Genomic DNA, 18,557 nt, shown 5'->3' with positions numbered 1-18,557 from the left:
GCCAGCTGGCTGCTGCAGCAGAGAAGGCAGCCTTCAACATTTGGTGAGGGCCAAGAGGAGGACTGCAGCACAGAGAGCTTAATCTCATCACTCCTGTTTCTCAGGGCTGCAACTCCTGCTTTGTCAACCCAACCAGGAACTATCCCATCTCTAAGAGAAGAGGAGGGCAACACAACTCCTGAAACTTAGAGGAAAGATCCTTGTGCTGGATCAGGAAACCATGGCAAGGGCTGAAAAGTAAGTGCTAGATGGTTCTTCAGGGTTGGAACCAGTTCATTCTCTCCCTGCTAAGTTTCCTCAAAGGGTATAGAAGTTTAGATTCCTGCCCACAGCCACAAAGCAGAGGCTGCAAAAAAAACTCTAGAGAACAGCTATGGTTGTCAAAGGGCTGCTGTGCCCAGGAAAATCTAACTTTGCTAACAGCAGCCTCTCAATACAAAATGCAAAAAGCTTATGAGAAATAAAAATGCCAGCCACGTGTGATGGCTCAGACCTATAGGATTGTAATCCCAGCACTTTGAGAGGCTGAGGCAGGAGAATTGCTTGAGGCCAGGAGTTTGAGTCTAGCCTGGGCAACATAGCATGACCCTATCTCTACAAAAAATTTAAACATTAGCCAGGTGTAGTGGCACATGACTGTAGTCCTAGCTACTTAGGAGGCTGAGGTGGAGGATCGTTTGAGCTTAGGAGTTTGAGGCTTTAGTGAGCTATGATCATGTCACTGCACTCCAGCCTGGGGTAACAGAATAAGACTCTGTCTCTTAAAAAAAAAAAAAAGAAAGAAAGAAGAAAAGAAATAAAAATGCCCTTTCCTACTCTCTCTATCTCTCTCCAGAACATTGTATATGTACCCTCATCTTACAGAAGATGAAGAACTGAAATACAGAAGTCAACAGATGATAGAACAGATTTCCTTTAAATCTCTGCTCCCTACCTGAGACCCTTCCTGGAAATTTAACCAGGTCACAGGTAATTCACAAAGCAAGAGAAATTCACTTATGTTCCAGCCAGCTGTCTAATGGTTGAGAAACACCTTGTCTGGGAGTCAGGGCTTTTGAGTCTTAAGTTCCAGAATCTAGGAGTGACCAGAAGCAAATCCCATCACTGAATCTTAAATTCTTCAGTCATTAGTGGAGAGGTGAATATATATATTTTTAAGATTAAAGCACCAAAAACCAAATCAGAAAAGTGGGCAAGGCTCTTAGGTACTGAACTTTAGTCTTGGTCTTTTTATTTTTAAATTTTAGATTATGAATTTTTATATACAGGTAAGAACAGAATAGTACATTTAAGACACCTGTGTATTATCTTCTACCCAGGTCAAACAAATGTTAGCATTTGTTATATTTGCTTCAGACTGCTCCCCAGTCTATCTTATTCCCTTCTCCAGAGGCAACTGCTATAATGAAATTGGTGTGTATCCTTCACAAGCCTATTTTTCTACTTTTGCTATATGCACATATGCCTGTAAACATATGATATTGCTCTGTTTAAAAACTTTTTTATCCAAGCAGTATCCTATTGTATAAATTCCTTTGTTACTGATCCTTTGTCCCAATTTTATCTTTAGCATTTATTATTATTATTATTATTTGAGATGGAGTCTCACTTTGTCACCCAGGCTGGAGTGCAGTGGCGTGATCTTGGCTCACTGCAACCTCTGCCTCCCAGGTTCAGGCAATTCTCCTGTCTCAGCCTCCCCAGTAGCTGGGACTACAGGTGCATGCCACGATGCCCAGCTAATTTTTGTATTTTTACTAGAGACAAGGTTTCACCATATTGGTCAGGCTGGTCTCGAACTCCTGACAGGTGATCTACCCACTTCGGCCTCCCAAAGTGCTGGGATTACAAGATGTGAGCTACCGTACCTGGCCAAGCATTTATTGATACTGAAACATGTTGAGGCCAGGTGTGGTGGCTCACACCTGTAGTCCCAGCACTTTGGAGGGCCAAGGCAGGAGGATCACTTGAGCCCAGGAGTTCAGGACCAGCCTTGGCAACATGGTGAGACTCTGTTTCTACAAAAGATAAACAAAATTAGCTGGACATGGTGGCACAAAATTAGCTGGACATGGTGGCACAAAATTAGCTGGGCATGGTAGGGCATGCCTATGACCATAGGCATAGCTACTTGAGAGGCTGGGGTGGGAGGATCACTTGAGCCCAGGAGCTCAAGGCTGTAGTGAGCTGAGAGTGTGCCACTCAAGCGTAAGCAACAGAGCCAGACTCTGTCTCAAAAATAAAAAAATAAAAAATAAATATATTGATTTAGATCAATTATTATTTTAATGGCTATTCAATAGCCTACTGCACTAATATGCTATAGTTTATCCATTTCCCTACTGATGAGCATTGTAGGTTGTTTCCAACTTTTTACACTGATAAACAAGGCTGCAATAAACATCTTTGTACATTTTCTTGTGCCCAAGTGTAATTTTCTTTAGAGTGGATATCTAGGAGTAGACTTGTTGGGTCACAATATGTGCACATCTTCAACTTTGCAAGATATAAGCAAAATGCTTTTCAATTTTATACTCTGCTCCCCCCATGTCTAGCAGTGCATAAAAGTACTAATTTCTCTGCACCCTCACCAACCCCAGGCTTTTAAGTTTTGCACTCTGATGATTGTGAAATAATATTTTATTATTTTAATTTGCTTTTCCCCATATACTAATAAAGTTCAATATCTTCTCATATATTTATTGACCATTTGGCTTTTTCTTCTATAAATTCCCATTTATATTCTTTGCCCATTTCTTTGTTGGGTTGCTCATCTCTCTCCTCTCTTTAAAATATATATATATTTATATCATATTCCTATTATGAATTCTAATCCTTTGTTGGTTATTAAACTTAGCTCTCTATTTCTCTGTCACTCATCACAAAATTTATTCTCTGTGCTCATGCACAAGAACGTCTTTAAAATTGTTTGTCTCTTTTCTCTGAAAAAGCATGCCTCAAAGTATCACTTCCATGTGACAGAATATTTAAATTTCACACATCTCCACCCAAAGCTTGTTTATTAATAACTGGCATTCATAGCACATGTAACATGGAGGCCCTTAATGTGAGGAGATCACATTTACCCTAAGCTAAAAATCCAGACAGAGACAAGCAGGCCAGCACTGAAAGAAGAATGGAATTACTTAACCCCAGCTCATAAACATCCAAGCAGAACTCTACTATGATGGATGCAGGTGACATGTCCAGCCTTGCTCAGCTGGCCAGTTGACTATAGTTTTTCCTCGGACTTTGCTGAGATTTTAATAAGGGGCAGTTGCGAGAGGAAGAAGGAAAAGATGGAGGTAGAGGAGACAAAGGAAAAAGAGATGGCATGGGATAGAAAGAGGGCAGCAGAAAGAAGTAGGCAGGCAAAGATATGGGTGACAGGAAGAGAAAAAGAGAAGGAATATGGAGAAGATGGAGAGAAAACTGATTTGAGAGTGCACCAAATCAGTTATTTTCAAAGAGAATAAAGAAGAGTGAGCAGGAAAGAGTGATAGAATGACAGAATGAAGAATACCATAGCCAAGGAGAATCACAGAAGGAAATGTGAAGACAAACAAAGAGATATTTACCACTTGGATGGAGAGGAAAAGGAATGTGGAGAACAGCCTTTGTTCAACAGCCACTTGGTGAGAACAGACAAGCTTCCAGGGAGATCACAGGCCCCTTCCCTCTCCTCCTGGCCATTCTTCCACTAGCTACTGACCCATCTACCTCATACCTGACAACTCGGCTGCATGCCCATCTGCATCTCCATACTCAAACTCCAGAGTGGGACAGTCCACAGAGCCCTGTAACAGAGAAATTTTGTTGGTAACTGGGATAACTTGGAAAAAGGGGTTGCCAAGGGAAGACTGTACCCTTATTTATCTTCTTCCCCTCATGGAGGCCAAGGTTAGATCAGGGAGACAGTTAGGAGAGTCCTATTTGGGTCTTTCATCTCAGAGGTACCCTACGCCAAGCCAAAACTTGAGTCTCAGTGTGGGGAGGGGCTGAGGATTCCTATACAAAATCGGAAAGTCTGAATAAAGGGCCAGGATCTCAAACATATATGAAAGCTATGGTCTGTGTCCATATCTAATCTACATGAACACAGACCAGAGGAGCATCTAGCTGATTTATATAAAATTGAGACAGACAGAAACAAAGAGAACTGGATTCTAGCTTCAGTTCTGTCATCAACCCACTGTATGATATAGATCAAGTCTCATGCTGTGGATCATAGTTCCTTATTTTTAAAGAGGTTCTTTAGCTCTAATATTCTGCAACTTTAGGATTGTCAAATGATGCAACATCTCCACTCCAAGTTGTAGTAAAGATTACATTTCCCATGACGTTGTATGTATAAATTTATAATCCTAGTAAATATGTTTTAATATAATCCCATCTTCTAACTTAAACATTTTGGGATATTTCCTTCCTGTATATGTTCATACATATGAATTTTTAAAATTTTCAATCTCAGCTCTGTCACATACTATTTGATCTTGGACAAGTTAACCTCTCTGTGCCTCAGCGTGACATAAAAAATATACTGTTCTTTGCCCCTGGTTCCTGGTACAGAGCTCCTGAAACTCTTAGAAGTTCCTGAGTGATAGGAGTGTCAGTTATTCATAATGAGTCACTGTCAGCTTTACCAGAATTTATGCTCATGAGGTGACTTATGTTAGGAAAGACGGAGCACATGATTAGAGGGTTTAACTTTCAGCACCACCCCCACATCCAGGGAGGGGAGGGGTACTACAGATTAAGTTCAGTCATGTGGCCAATAGTTTAATTATGTCTAGGTAATGAAACACCATAGGAAAACCCAGAAACAACTAGGTTCAGGCAGCTTTTGGGTTGGGGAACAAACAGATGTGCTAGGAGAGTGCTGCCCAGGGAAGATAAGGAAACTCTGCATCACCCCAAACCCATACTTCGTCCTTCGCATCTCTTCCATTTAGCTGTTTCTGAGTCATATCCTTTATAATAAAATTATAATTCTAAGTACATGCTTTCCTGAATCCTGTGAGTTATTCTAGCAAATTATGGAACCTGAAAGGAAGATCATGATAACCGCTTAATTTGTAGTTGGCCAGGCTGAAGTGTAGATAGCTTGGGGATCCCACCTATGGCTGGTGTCTAACGTAGGGCCTTGTAGGACTGAGCCCTTAACTTGGGGGTCTGTGCTAATTCTAGGTAGTTAGTGTCAGAATCGAATTGAACTGTAGGACATCCAGTTGGTGTCAGCGAATTGTTGGAAAATGACCTGCTCAGTTTTCCCATCTGTAAAATGAGGATAATAACAGGACTTACTTCATAGGGTTATTTTAAGGACTAAATGAGTTAATATAGGAAAGGCACACGGCCTAGCACTTCGTAGCACTATGTGAGTGGTCACTCTATGATTTTAATATTATACTATAAAGGCATTCTTCTCACATTATTATGACTATTAGTTTAAATGGTTGTATAAATGGATGTACATTTATTTGTTTACTTAACTAGTTCCTTATTGAATATTTAAATGGTTTTTAATTTTCCTTTATTATATGCAACAAACTGTAATAGACTTACACTTTTTTCTATATTTAGGATATTTCCTAAGCATAGATTTTTATAAAGAAAATTAATGAATCAAATCTTATGAACATTTTAAAGTCTCTTTGTATATAAGTTGCTCCCCCAAAACATTATGCCAATTTATACTGTCAACAAAGCAAATTGGCCGGGCGCAGTGGCTCACGCCTGTAATCCCAACACTTTGGGAGGCCGAGGTGGGCGGATTACGAGGTCAGGAGATCGAGACCATCCTGGCTAACACGGTGAAACCCCGTCTCCACTAAAAATACAAAAAATTAGCCGAGCATGGTGGCGGACGCCTGTAGTCCCAGCTACTCGGGAGGCTGAGGCAGGAGAATGGCGTGAACCCGGGAGGCAGAGCTTGCAGTGAGCCGAGTTTGCGCCACTGCACTCCAGCCTGGGTGACAGAGTGAGACTCTGTCAAAAAAAAAAAAAACAAAAAAAAACAAGGCGAATCATGTTTTAATCCACTATAGCAAAGATTTCCAAACTTTTGGATTAAAAGGAACAGTAGGGAAAAAGAAAAAGGTGGAGAGTGGCAAATGACATAGGGTTGTTGCTGTTTTATTCTGATAGGTAAGGACTTTAAAAACTTTAAAAAATTCAAAAAATGAAAGACAGAATCTCAGAATAAAGAACAGCCATTAAAAATTGTTTTTCAAACTTTTTGGAAAAATGATACCTTTTACATTACGTCCCAGCACACACACACACACACACAAACTGGAACAAAAGTTTAACAAAATATTTACCTTTACTGCATGTGATGCAGTGATATTTTCTATTATTCTCTTTCTTTTCTTTTTTTTTTTAAGACAGGGTCTTCCTCTCACCCAGGCTGGAGTGCAGTGGCATGATCACAGCTCACTGCGGCCTCAACCTCCTAGACTTAAGTGATTCAGCCTCCTGAGCAGCTGGGACAACAGGCGCGCACCATCATGCCTGGCTAAATCTTTTTTATTTTTTATTTATTTGTAGAGATGGGGTCTGCCTACATTTCCCAGGCTTGTCTCGAATTCCTGGCTGAAGCTACCCACCTGCCTCAGTCTCCCAAAGTGCTGGGATAATAGGCATGAGCCATCATGCTGGCTTTATTTCTTAAAATAAAAATTTTAGCCTCAATTAACAGGTTGCCCCCTATAGCAGTTTGAAAAACACTGTTTTAAATTGTATACATTCTTAAATTTAATATATTGAACTAAATTTTTAGAAAAACTCACTTCGATGACCTGAATTTTCCTCATTTTACCACAGACCAGTTAAAACTTTGTCAAGGAGTTTGAGATCAATAAACCAGATCTGGCTAAAAGAGGTCTGAGGTGAATCCTTTTATTAGGTTAAGACTCTTCTTATTAAGCAAACAATTATTCTTTAGCTTCCTTTTTAGGTTGGGATGTTCACACACTAAGCCAGTGGGAGAAGGTAGGTCAACAGTGCTTCCATAAACAGTGATACACGATGAGGCTCTCTTGACTTGTGCCACAGTAATTCTCTTCTAGTGATTTTCTAAAAGCCCTAGAGAGGAAAAAAATCCCATCTCCTCTAAGGACTGCCTTCCACAGGAAAGCAAAAAGAGGGAGAGAAGAAAAGCAGATCTGGCACCTGGGTACTGTGGTAATAGGGGATGTACTGGCAGGTAAAAGGAGTCCTGCTGCAGCAGAAGGTAGAGGAAAGCTAATCTTTCCAGCCAGGCTTTTGGCAGGCAATGAGCCCAGATAGAGATGATCGCAGCAGTTGTTCATTTCCAGGCATGAAGAGTGCAGCTGCAGACAATCAGCAGGTAAACCGCGGTGCAGGTGGAAAGCTTTCGAGTCTCTGGACACTGCAAAGTACTGGCAAAAGCAAAGGACTGTACTCTCAGAGCCTTTGCCTGAAGAAGACTTGACAGGTGGGGAACAGATTGCAACTTTAGAAGGGAGACCCAGGCAGAGACTTTTATTCCCCCCATAGAACATATCATTCTGAAATTATTTTATTTATTTACTCACAATTTGTCTCCCCATGGGCGAAGACCCTATCTTGTTCACTGATATATCCCTGGCACCTAAAACAGTGGCTGGCAGAAAGTCCTCGATAAATAATTGTTGAATTAATGAATGGCTCATCTCCCCAAAAAAACATTTGAACGAGAACAATGTCTCTGTGGGGGAAGGAGGTACAGGGTGCCCTAAAAGACCAGACTCATCTTGAAGTAGGGAGGGAGATGATGTGGCGGGTATCATCTAGCAAGACAGGAGGGCTGAGCTCTCTGCCTCTGCAAGGTGGTGACTTTGGGCCAGTCTTTTCATCTCCATTTCTACCTTGAAAAAAAATGAATGGATTCCTCCTACTCTACCTACATCAAAATGTAAAGCATACATGAAATCACTTTGGAAACTGAAATGCTATTCAAATGGTAAGGCAAGGTCTGGGATGCCAAAAACCTGGTTTCTAGTACCAGCTCTGCCACTTGATGATGATGATGATGATGATGATAGCAATATACTAAGAGTTACTATGTACTGACTAATTACATGCATTGTGCCTGCACTGTGCCAAACATTTTATAGTCAATTATCTCATTTTGACTTTATCACAACCTTCTGAGGTAGGCAGTGTTAATCTCATCTTACAGATGAAGAAACTGGAGCTCAGAGAGGTTCCGTAATGTGCCGAAAATCACACAGGTAGTAAATGATAGGGCTAGGAGTCAAAACCTGGTCTGACTACTCCAAAGTCTGGTGTTCTTGACCACCAACTATGCCAGATGTCTGATCTTGGGCAAGTCACTCCTCTTTTTTTTAGGTCTGTAAAATGAAAGGGTTATACCAGATGATATCTGCAGACCCTGCCACATCTGATATTTTGTCGTCTATTCTGATCCCCGCTCAGATCCAACTGATGGGAACTGCCTCAATGAGGGGATAGGGAAGTGATAATAATTCAACGCTTTCATCTTCATAGATAGGGTTTCTTTTTTCAGGAGAGGAGGAAGAGATCGAAATATTCACACTCCTATCTGTATCCTGCGACTGCTCCCTCCAGATAGCCACTCCAGGACTGCCCCTGCCTGAATCCCGTCTCGCTCAGCCCTCACAGGCAGGGGCCTGATGTCCGCGGAAGGCGCTCCCGAAACGGCCTAAGACTTACGGGGGGAAGGGGACGGGCAGGGAACGGGCAGAAGTCCCTCGGCTGGCCCAGGGGCCCGCCGCAGGCAGCCTGGGAGGGGGACTGCGGTTGCCCCACTCGCCAATCCTGCTTTCCTGCGGCTGAGCTCCAGCCTCCCACCCCTCAAGCCAGTCACTTAACCTCTCCGCTCCTGTTCCCCCGTCTATAAACTGGGATCGGAATTTCTGCTTCAGGGGGCTGCAGCGATTAAGTGAGATAAATATTTGGAAAGTATCTGGTCCGCTCAATACCGCGCTCATCTTCGCGCAGCGGGGGAAAGCCAGAGGGCTAGAAAGCCCCCAACCCGCGGCAGGAGACGGGCGGACACTGGTCCGGGCCAAAGAGCCCAGAGTTCAGCCGCTAGGACCCCGCAGGCGCCCACTGCGCGGGGCTGATCGAGCGCGCCGAGGGCTCCGGGGCCGAGGCCGAATCACCTCAGCCGCCGCTTCCCGCCGGCGGGCGTCTCCGGGCCCCAGCCGAAGCTTTCCGGGCTCCTCACCTCTGACTCCCGCCGCTGGCTTCGGAACGCTTCGCGGCCCTTGGGCGCCGCCTGCTTCCCTTTGCCGCCGCCGTTGCCATTGCCATTTGCGGGCGGGCCCCCGGTCCCAGGCGCGGCGGGGTCCTCCATGCTGCTGGTCAGCGGCTCCCCTCAGGGTTCAGCTCGCTTTGCCGGAGGCGACCCTACCGCCGCGCGCCGGGAGCCAGGCCCCGCCCCCTCCACCTCTATTGGTTACGGCAGCTCGCCGCAACCCCGCCCCGCGAGGCGATTGGCTGCTCGACCGGCCGGAGCGGGACTCGAGGAGGTGGGGGCTCAATGAAGAGATTTTTGAGGGGATCTTTTTAGTCCTGCGGCATTGCTGGCGGACGGAGACTCCTAGGTTAGCTACAGGCTCCACACCTCGCGAAAGCTGGGCCTTGAGATCAGGCGGGTTATCTCTGTGCTCCTCACTCGGTGTCTCTCAGCTCTCACCCCCGTCCCTGTAGCGACCTTTTCCGGAGCTCTAGTCTCCGCCTACTGCTCCACAGCAGTCTCCGTTTCCCTGTTACCACCGACCCGGCCCCCCATATCCCGGCTCCTGCACACGTCCCATATCCCGCTTAGTCTCAGGGGAGGGATGGCACCGCCAGGTGGCCAGGGACATCGCCCGAAACGAGGGACTCGCTGTCTCTGGAAGCTGAGAATTCTCAGCGTTTTTCTGAAGAGAACGCATCTCGCCCGGAGCTAGGGCTTGGCTGGGAGACTGGAGGTCTAAGGGTGGGATGGGGGAGTTTTTCCATCACTGAAATTGGTGGTGCCCTCGAGGGCTGCTCCTGTCATCTGCCCTTCTCTGCTGTAGGGGGCCTCTTCCTCATGGTGTGTAAATGTTGAGGGTAGAGCAAGCCCCCACCCTCACCTGCTCGCCAGTCCTTTCTTTCCTTCCTCTCTCTTAGATGCTTCCTAAGGGCTCATTGTTACTGGGGGCAAAAGAGGCTGTTTGATCTGCCCTCTCCTGAATTTAAAAAGTAGCTTGTAGTAAATATTTAGACAGTCTGGCTTGGTAATAGAAGCCCCAAAGACGTAGGCTCAGGGGAACAGGTGGGACCAAATCGCTGTCCCCAGCCTGGTTGCTTTAGGAAGGGTCTGGGGGATTGTTGAACTGAGCTTGGTGCCAGGCACTGCAGTAAGCGCTTTCCAAATATCACATCATACCTCTCCCCGACAGGGTGTTTTTACGAATCCAATGTTACTGATGAAGAAACCGGCACTTGCAGATTCCTCCCTGCGGTTTCCAAGGTATCATATTCTATCTTGTCTCAGGGTCTTGCCTATGCTGTTCTCTGGAGGAGACTGTCTTCTGTTCTCCTGGTTGATTCCTTTTCTCTCATAAAGATTCTAGTTAGTTGTCACCTCCTCCTCCTCCACAAAGCTTTCCTTTTAGCCCTCAACTCATTCAGGTTGTGTTGGTGTCAAACCAGTTCTGCCTAGATCCAAAATCCTAACATTTTCCACGATATACCCAAAGCAAAGGGCCTAGAGGAATTACTCCACCTTCCCATACCTTAGGGACAACCCTGTCCCTTTCTTAACATCTCTCTCTCTCTCTCACTTTTCCCTTTGCCAGTTCATAGGCGACAGAACAAGGCAAGTTTGAGAGCACTCTTTGGAGCTTTTTGGGTTTTCTCACCCTGGTCCAATATCTCCTTACTGTACCTTCACATCTTCCTTTTCCTCTTCCAGTCCCACTCCTCTCCCCACCCACATATAGGCTCCTAGCGAGTAAGACCAAATTTAGCTCATTTTTGTATGCCCCTAATTTATGTACGTTTAACGCAGCGTTTCACAGTCTCTGTACTATTGACAATTGGGGCTGAATATTTATTGTAGGGGGCTGTCCTGTGCATCGTAGGATGCTTAGCAGAATACCTGGCCTCTCTTCACTAGATGCCAGTAGTATCCTCCCGCTAGTGCGACAACCAAAAATGTCTCGGGGCGGGGGGCTGGGTGTGGGGGGTGGGGAGTGTGGCGTTTACAGAACTGAATTGATATGAATTTCCAAGAAAGTCCCTGGCTCAAGGCCTGAACTACTTGACTTTGGATTTTTTTCAGGGTATAATTTGTTAAACTCTTAAAAATTTACACCCTGCTTTAAAGTTCACAACCCACGCCTTGCTCATCACTGCTTCAGTGTGGTAAACCTGCCACAGCACAGCCCATTGGGATTTCTTAATAGAAAGAATTCATTATTCTATCTCTCTTCTTCCCAGTACTTCTCCTCCTAAGTAGTCAGAGCCCTAAGGTTAACAGGCCCAGAACTTCATATTCTTTTGTGAGCCTAATCAATCGGCAGGATCCCAACAGTGGTAGCAGACAGGAGTGGCCAGTTTTGATGCTTTATTCTTTTCCTGCCTATTCCTAGGGGAAAGGGCAGACTGATCTTGGGAGTAGGATAGAGGACAGCTTGCAAGTCCCCTCTGGTGGCTATCTAAAGCCACTTGCTAAGCCTAGAGGCTCCATCTGGCTTTAATTTCAGAGAAGGAATGTGTAAAACTGGTGCTATGAAGATTGCATAGAGTCAACACGAGGAGAGACCTCAATCCATGATCTTTTCCACATCTCAGCGAAATAGAATACCTTTACTAAGATCAGACACCTATGTGCTCACTATAGGCCCAGACGTTCAAAATTTCTAATAAGGAGGAAGATATCTGGAAACAACTGGAAGATGTAACAAGAAACCACAGAGTAACTGAAAACTTTGAAACTACAGGCCATGGAATTGGCACACATTCAATTTATTTTAGCTTATTTGTCAACAAAGGCATCATAGTCATCAATACCATTCACCACAGAGGCACCCATACCTGGGAGCTAGTCAAGGCTGGTCAAGTCTCTCCATCTTGCAGAGATGGCTCCAATGCTGTTATATTTGACGTTATTAAAAAACCTACATTACCAATTTCCCTTGTCCCAAAACTCAGGCTGCCAGCAGAGGGTTGGAGGTATAAATAGGTGTAGTTACAAGAATCACATATACCCTTTTCCCCATATAAGCACTCCACTTTAATCCACAGAGGTCAGATACTTGACTAAATGGATAGCACCTGGCACTGAGAAAGCTTAATAAGACGCAGTAAGTTTTAAAGTACCTGCTTTTTGAGGCTATCAGGCAGTTAGGATAATTTAGTAAAAAAAGGATAGAACACCCTCCTCTCTCCATAAAGGGCAGGTGTGGGTGTAATGATGCAACAGAGGTTGTAGGGCTCTAGATTGAGACAAGGAATGATGTGTATGCAGTCAGCAGTGCGTGCCAGGCTCTGTAAATAAGCAGCACTTTTTATATATCGCTTCATTAAATCCTTATCCTAGGAGATAAGCAGTATCCATTTCACAGGCAAGAAAATTGAGGCTGTGAGTGGTTATGTAATTTGACTAAGTTACATAACTTGTAAATGGCAGAGCTGGGATTCAAACCCAAGCTAGCCTGCTTTAAAGTTCAAGTTTTTTTGCACAATATTGTGAGGTGGAGAAACTTGTGCAGCAGTGGATAGCTTGGGCTTACCCTATGATTCTGAAATAAAGACCCAGGCACCCAAGGTTCCATCCTTCACAAATGAGGAGTCAAGCCCTACTGCAGGGGAGCAAATCCTTTGAGCTGACCGGCTTCATTGCTAGCTGCTGCATTCTCCTCCTCTTAACTGGAATGGCACTAATTTTGAGGATTACTGACTGCCCAGACGATTCTAGCCCTGTGTCCCTTAATCTAAATAATCAGAAGCCAAAGTGGCAGAAGATTCTGCTATGAAAAGAAAACATCTTGCATACAGGATGCAGAACTAGTTTAGGTAGTCAACTAAAGAAGGTGGCTATCAGAAAGCTACCCAAAGATGGTTACCCTACTGGCAGTTGAGAAAGAATAGGCAATTGGATTATCCTTTGGTTAAATCAGGCAACTTGATTTAGAGACAAATCTCTGCCTGATGCACTTCTTTCTTCCCTTTGGCTGGATATAATCAGGTCCTAGTTATCAAGGTCCTTTGGTCCCAAACTGGGGGATGCTGATTTCCTGCATTTTTCAACTAAAAGGGAGTCAGGGACCTAGAACTATGGTTTAGTTTCTCTGAGTTAAGCCTACAGTCCTCGACTCCCCAGGGTGGTGGTTCTGAGAAGACAGGTTCTTTACACACACAGCCAGGATGCGCGTGTATGCTGGCTGGTAGGAGGGGAACATGATATTTATTAACTAAGGTCAAACATGCCTATTGGTAACATTTTCACATCCTAAGGTCAAACATGCCCATTGGTAACATTTTCACATCCTTGCCCTACAGCAGGATCTCTAGTTTGTTGCCCAGAGATCTCTCTCATCTCTGAATTTCTAGTTCACAGAAACAAGAAATACCCTTAAGAGTCCATGTTAAGAATATTTTATTTGTTTTTTGAGATTACATAGTCATTATTGCTGATCTAATACAATCACTTAGACATAAAGATTTCCAAGAACTTCTCAGAAATGGTGATCTTTAGAAGTGTTATTCCTTTCAGTAAGATGACAGAACTAGATGATTACGTATATAGATATATAGATATATATATATATATGTATATATAGAGTTTAGAACCTGTCCACATATAATTTGCTGGTGTTGCCTATTTTCCTTCCGTAATTTTCCTTTATTGAAAAAGCTTAATGCAACAATGCATTTTGATTCCTTTTTAAAAACCACGGCAAAGTTAATTTTGAGAAAACCACAGGAGCAGCAATATCAGATCTGTTTAGAGAAAAGCGAAGCAGCATAAAAGCTTTGCAGGAGTATGTGGCCATGGGGAGCCGTGCTCATATGGGCAAGTAGGATAGGGAGGGAGGAGAGCAGAGGGAAGGTAGAGTAGATACATTTTTTTTCTTTGTTTAAATGAAAAAAAGAAAACTGAATATCTCCATTAAGAAGGCAAAAAAGTGCCAGGCACGGTAGCACACACCTGTGGTTCCAGCTACTCAGGAAGCTGAGGCAGGAGGATTGCTTGAGCCCAGGAGTTTGAGACCAGCCTGGGCAACATAGTGAAACCCTGTCTCTAAGGGTGAAAAGAAAAGAAAGAAAGAAGGCAAAATATTAGCACAGATTCATTGTAGAGAAAATGTTATGTATCCTCACAGACTGGAGCCACATACAAAGAGATAAGTAGCCTTCTTTCCCATGCTTCCAGATAACCAGGATGCATCTAAGGTAAGAGGTTGGAGGAAAGAAGACACATTGCTCTGATTCCAAGGGTAGAGGGAATAATGACCAGATTTCAACCCTAAGATAGAACCCAAATACTTGGGAGGCTTGTGGTTCTTTCTTCTTAATGGTTGATAACACAGTGTCCCTACAGAGAGGTCATCTGAAACTCAGAGGCAAATAACTCATCATGGGCAGCAACACTGGCAACCTAACTTAGAAGCCCCGTGTGGCCCCTTTTTTATTTGGAGTGGGTCTCTTCACTACAGCAAGGCAGAATGTACTCTTTAAGTACCAGCACATAGTAAGCTCCAGAGAGCAAGGCTTTGCTGAGAAACAGCAGGTTATGATTTTTGGTCTAAGAATACAATAGGCTAGAGACCATCTATCTGCCAAATGGAATCTGCTCTGGATATAAGATAAGGTACAAAGATCTGAATCCCTTGCTAAAGGGAACCAATTAATACAAAAATCAGGACTAGGTAGGCAAAAGGAAGAACTGAATGGCTTAGTGGAATTTTTAGCATTTATGATCTTCCTTACAAAAAAAGAATATAACCAGTACTTGCTGAGACATATGGCCTCTGAAGAACTGTAGTCTATGGGCTGAGCCTGTATACTATTAAATGAGGCAAACAGTCATTTACCAAAGTTCCACTTCCCTACTTCCGAAAGTAAGGTCACTTTCAGACTAGCTTTGAGAGTATATGTGAAGACCAGGAGAAGTTGGAGAGGGTAGAGGTAGAAGAAGAGAATCAGGATGGGAAGGTTTTGGTGATCATGCGTGGTCTGGTGTTATCTTGAGTCACCTTGGTCTTGAGACTTTGAGGCAGACCAGCATAGGAAAAAAGTGGGAAACAAACAAACCTGAGAGTGTTAAAAAGGATCGGTAAGGGGAAGAGGCTTATTTAATTCAAGTTTCCTAGGGCCAGTCCAGACTAACTCTTAGAACCAATCTGGTCCTAATGAAATGCCTGAGACCAACAGATCAGTCTCCAAAAGGAATCCAATTTTTGGGTGGGACATAAAATGTCACGCTGCCCACACCACATTACTAATTCTTTTTGTAGCACTGGAGTTACTCAAGAAACTGACTCTGAAATACAGAATCATCAAATGGAAGAGGTTAAATCATAAAAGATATGCCAGCAGAGAAGTCCACAGATCAGACTGCAGATCTCGGTTTCATCCATGGCAATGGCCAAAGGAATGAATGTCTGACGAGGTTCAAACTAGTCAAATTAGCTTTGATAATCTGGATACAGTTTACAATTTCATCTCTGTATCCCTCAGCCAGTCAAACTGCAATGGCCTTCCTGGGAAACAAATAAATATACTCTGCTTTGTTAGGGTATCAAGCTGTGAGTCTGAAAGACCTGTCCCATTTCCAAAGCCTATCCCCCTAAGTCCCTGGAAAAGTATGCCTTTCCCTACTCAGTTTCAGACGTAGCTTTAGGCAATAGCAGGAAGTTTCAGGAAGCAGTGTTTCACAACAAGCTCTCCTTTTCTGAGATAGTGCCAATCTGGAGGGGCTTCCTTGGAAACTATCCAATCAAATGACAAGGAAGTAAAACTATGGGTCCCAGTGGAGCTGGCCCCACTTCCTGAGCAGACGTTGGCTGGATTAGAAAGACAGCAGAACAAATGTCTGACAAATACCAAAACTGTGGAGGAAATAATGGAGGCACATCCCTCTTGCAACCAGGAAGTGTTAAAATGGACATAAATATTCAAGGAGAAGAAAGGAGTCCTGGGTAAGAAAGGAGACCCCTGGTAGGCACAGCACAGCTGAGTTCTTGATGTAGCTTGGCAAAGCCATAAATAACACTCCTTCCTTATTAGCCTTTATATAAAGAAGGCAGTGATAGTGATGGTCAAGATTGGGAACCCAATCTTGTGTGAAACACTGGCCATGTTAATTCCAAACGGCCTCACCCGGGGAAGGGCCAAGCTGAGAAAAGCAGGTGCTGAAAATTTATTCCAGAAAACTCCAGGGAATAGGGAGTATGGAATCCCTGGACTAACTCGTGAGCCTGGACAAGAGGAAAAACGGCCACTGCTGAGGATTCAGTCAATGGGGAATGATGCAAATGATGCACTGGGAGCAGTAACCCCATTTCTTTCCTTCCTCAGCCCATCCTCTGTGGCTTTCATGGCCCTCAGGGCAGTAACCACACTCTGGGCCAACACTACAGGCACAGGATTCTTGATTTTAATAAATAAATAACCTAACACACAGGGTGAGCACGGCAGGCAGCTTTGATTGGAGAAGCAGCTTGCTGAATTCTTTCTTGTATAGTAGTGGAGAAAAGGCTTGGAGTTCTATTCCTTAAAAATTCTGGTTTGAGTTACAGGAACTTAATACCTGGAGGGAAAAAGAAAGATGAGACTGTGATGTTATCAGCTAATGGGGATGCTGGGACATGAAGAGCCTGCCTAAAGGTGTAACAGGGAGGCAGAGACTTTTCTGGAGTGTACAGTGACAGGAAATAACTGTGTTTCCTTTTCACATCATTGAAAAAGGCCAATATTTCTCCATAAAGAGATAAAAATCATAGCAACAAGATGAAATGGGGAAAGGAATTGAGGAAGGGGAACTTTATTTAATGAGGCAAATAGCCACTTACCCAAACTCCACCTCTCTATCTCCAAAAGGCAAATTCAGGAAGGGGAATACTATTTAAGGCCTTGAAGAGTCTTTTGAAGGTGGCAGTGAGGGGAAGTGGGTTCATTTTTCTGAGTTCATGTAAGCATATGTGGTTGGGGATGCAAAGACCAATTCCAGTGCAGGAAGCTCATCACTGCCCAGGTGTCCCTGATTTCTGGGGAGCCCAAGGCACCTGTAGTAATTAGGCTTGAAGGGCCCATTCTTGTTGAGTCCCAGATACTTGGCCTGTTCATCTGTCAGCTCTGTCAAGTGGGCATCAAAGGTAGGCAGGTGTAGGCTGGCCACATACTCATCTGGAACAGACCACAGAAGCCCTGGTATAAGCATTCATGCCTTTTATCTGATGGCTATTGTCCCCAAGCTAGGCCTTAAAAAGTTCAAAGACACCTTCTAATTCCTGGAGCTGAATGAAAAATGTTCAACCTTCGCTCACTGGTCCTCAATTCTAAGGAATAGCTGCCTTCAGCTTCAAGCCCAGTGCTTTCCAAAGCCTTAATAATTCATCCTTACTAACTCAGCTTTGAACCCTGCCTTCCAGAAAAGTGCAGGAGAGATGAAAGAAACAACAGGCATTAAGATTTAAAAGAAGGAATAGGATAATGTGGGAACTAAATAATGGGAAGCTCCAACTTGAGTTTTGCCTTGGACTCCATACTTTGGGTCATTTAAAACAACTAATGCCTGGGGAAACTTGAATGGAAAAACTAAGAAGGATACTAAATGGGATAAATGAACTGTTTGCTTTGCTTTTAGTACTCTTAATTCTTATGGGTTTCTGTTCACATTCTATTATCTGACTACATAGTACTTATTCATAATCTTATGTCATTTCCTATGTATTTGTTTGGTCTCCCAACTTCATTATACATTCTGTCAGAATATGGACTGTGCTGTTGCTTTTATATCCTTCTAAAGTGTCTACTAAAGGGAAAATGTATCAACTTTTAACAGTTGTTATATACCTAGTGCTAAGGCAAAACAAAACCAGAAGCTTATTTATTACCTGATCTTTGCCTGAGGAGTTTATAAACACACTGTATCAGTTCAGGTGCTTGAGGCAGGCTCTTTAAAAATTTAAGACAGGTTAATGTTTCTCTTATACAAAACACCCACATAACTAAATAGCTCCTATTCCACATCTCTCCTTTGGCCTGAAGCACTGGGATTGGTGTTGGAAGGTGTAGTAAGAAAGTCTTGTGTCGTCTGAGAAAAGTTTGGTAGGGGCTATTTGGCAGCCTAGAATTGGAGTAAGTCAGATGTCACAAGGTAGGAGATGATTCTTCTCTTTTAAGGGAAGATTTTTTTTTTCTCCTTTGAGATTCCCACATAAAGATACTTTAAGAAAAAAAAAATCCTTAAAATTCACAGGCAGGTAAAATAAATCACAGCATAATATCACAACTTCGCTAGGGCAACACATGTAGAAAATGGGATAAATAAATGGGAATGGCACCTAGGAATCCTAATTCCTACT

The 18,557-nt window shown here is 43.5% G+C and overlaps 2 protein-coding genes across 26 annotated transcripts in view, besides 1 other annotated feature; both read right to left on the bottom strand.

Moving 5' to 3' along the window:
• The window catches only part of STRIP2 (striatin interacting protein 2), a 53,968-nt gene extending 44,581 nt beyond the window's left edge, over window positions 1–9,387 (bottom strand). For all 9 annotated transcript variants that reach the window (XR_927493.2, XR_001744840.2, XR_001744841.2 and 6 more), the window contains exons 1-2: window positions 9,218–9,387; window positions 3,728–3,797 (exon numbers count right to left, since the gene is read on the bottom strand). Coding sequence is in view for 6 of the 9 variants with exons in the window: in NM_020704.3 (NP_065755.1) it covers window positions 3,728–3,797; window positions 9,218–9,346 (199 nt within the window). In the remaining 3 variants the exon portion in view is untranslated. The remainder of the gene's footprint in view (window positions 1–3,727; window positions 3,798–9,217) is intronic.
• Window positions 9,028–9,507: a silencer, noted in NCBI's record as "silent region_18629". NCBI's record gives its function as "represses an Ori minimal core promoter by ATAC-STARR-seq in GM12878 lymphoblastoid cells {active_cell/tissue: GM12878}" and the evidence as "EXISTENCE:reporter gene assay evidence [ECO:0000049][PMID:35858748]".
• AHCYL2 (adenosylhomocysteinase like 2) overlaps window positions 13,608–18,557 on the bottom strand; it is a 205,182-nt gene continuing 200,232 nt past the window's right edge. For all 17 annotated transcript variants that reach the window (NR_171671.1, XM_047420088.1, XM_047420087.1 and 14 more), the window contains 2 exons: window positions 17,256–17,376; window positions 13,608–16,780 (listed from right to left, as the gene is read on the bottom strand). Coding sequence is in view for 16 of the 17 variants with exons in the window: in XM_047420088.1 (XP_047276044.1) it covers window positions 16,774–16,780; window positions 17,256–17,376 (128 nt within the window). In the remaining variant the exon portion in view is untranslated. The remainder of the gene's footprint in view (window positions 16,781–17,255; window positions 17,377–18,557) is intronic.

The sequence above is a fragment of the Homo sapiens genome, chromosome 7, assembly GCF_000001405.40.
Source record: "Homo sapiens chromosome 7, GRCh38.p14 Primary Assembly".
Taxonomy (NCBI): domain Eukaryota; kingdom Metazoa; phylum Chordata; class Mammalia; order Primates; family Hominidae; genus Homo; species Homo sapiens.
Note: the sequence above shows the minus strand (reverse complement) of the source record. Positions and strands in the feature narration are given on the sequence as shown.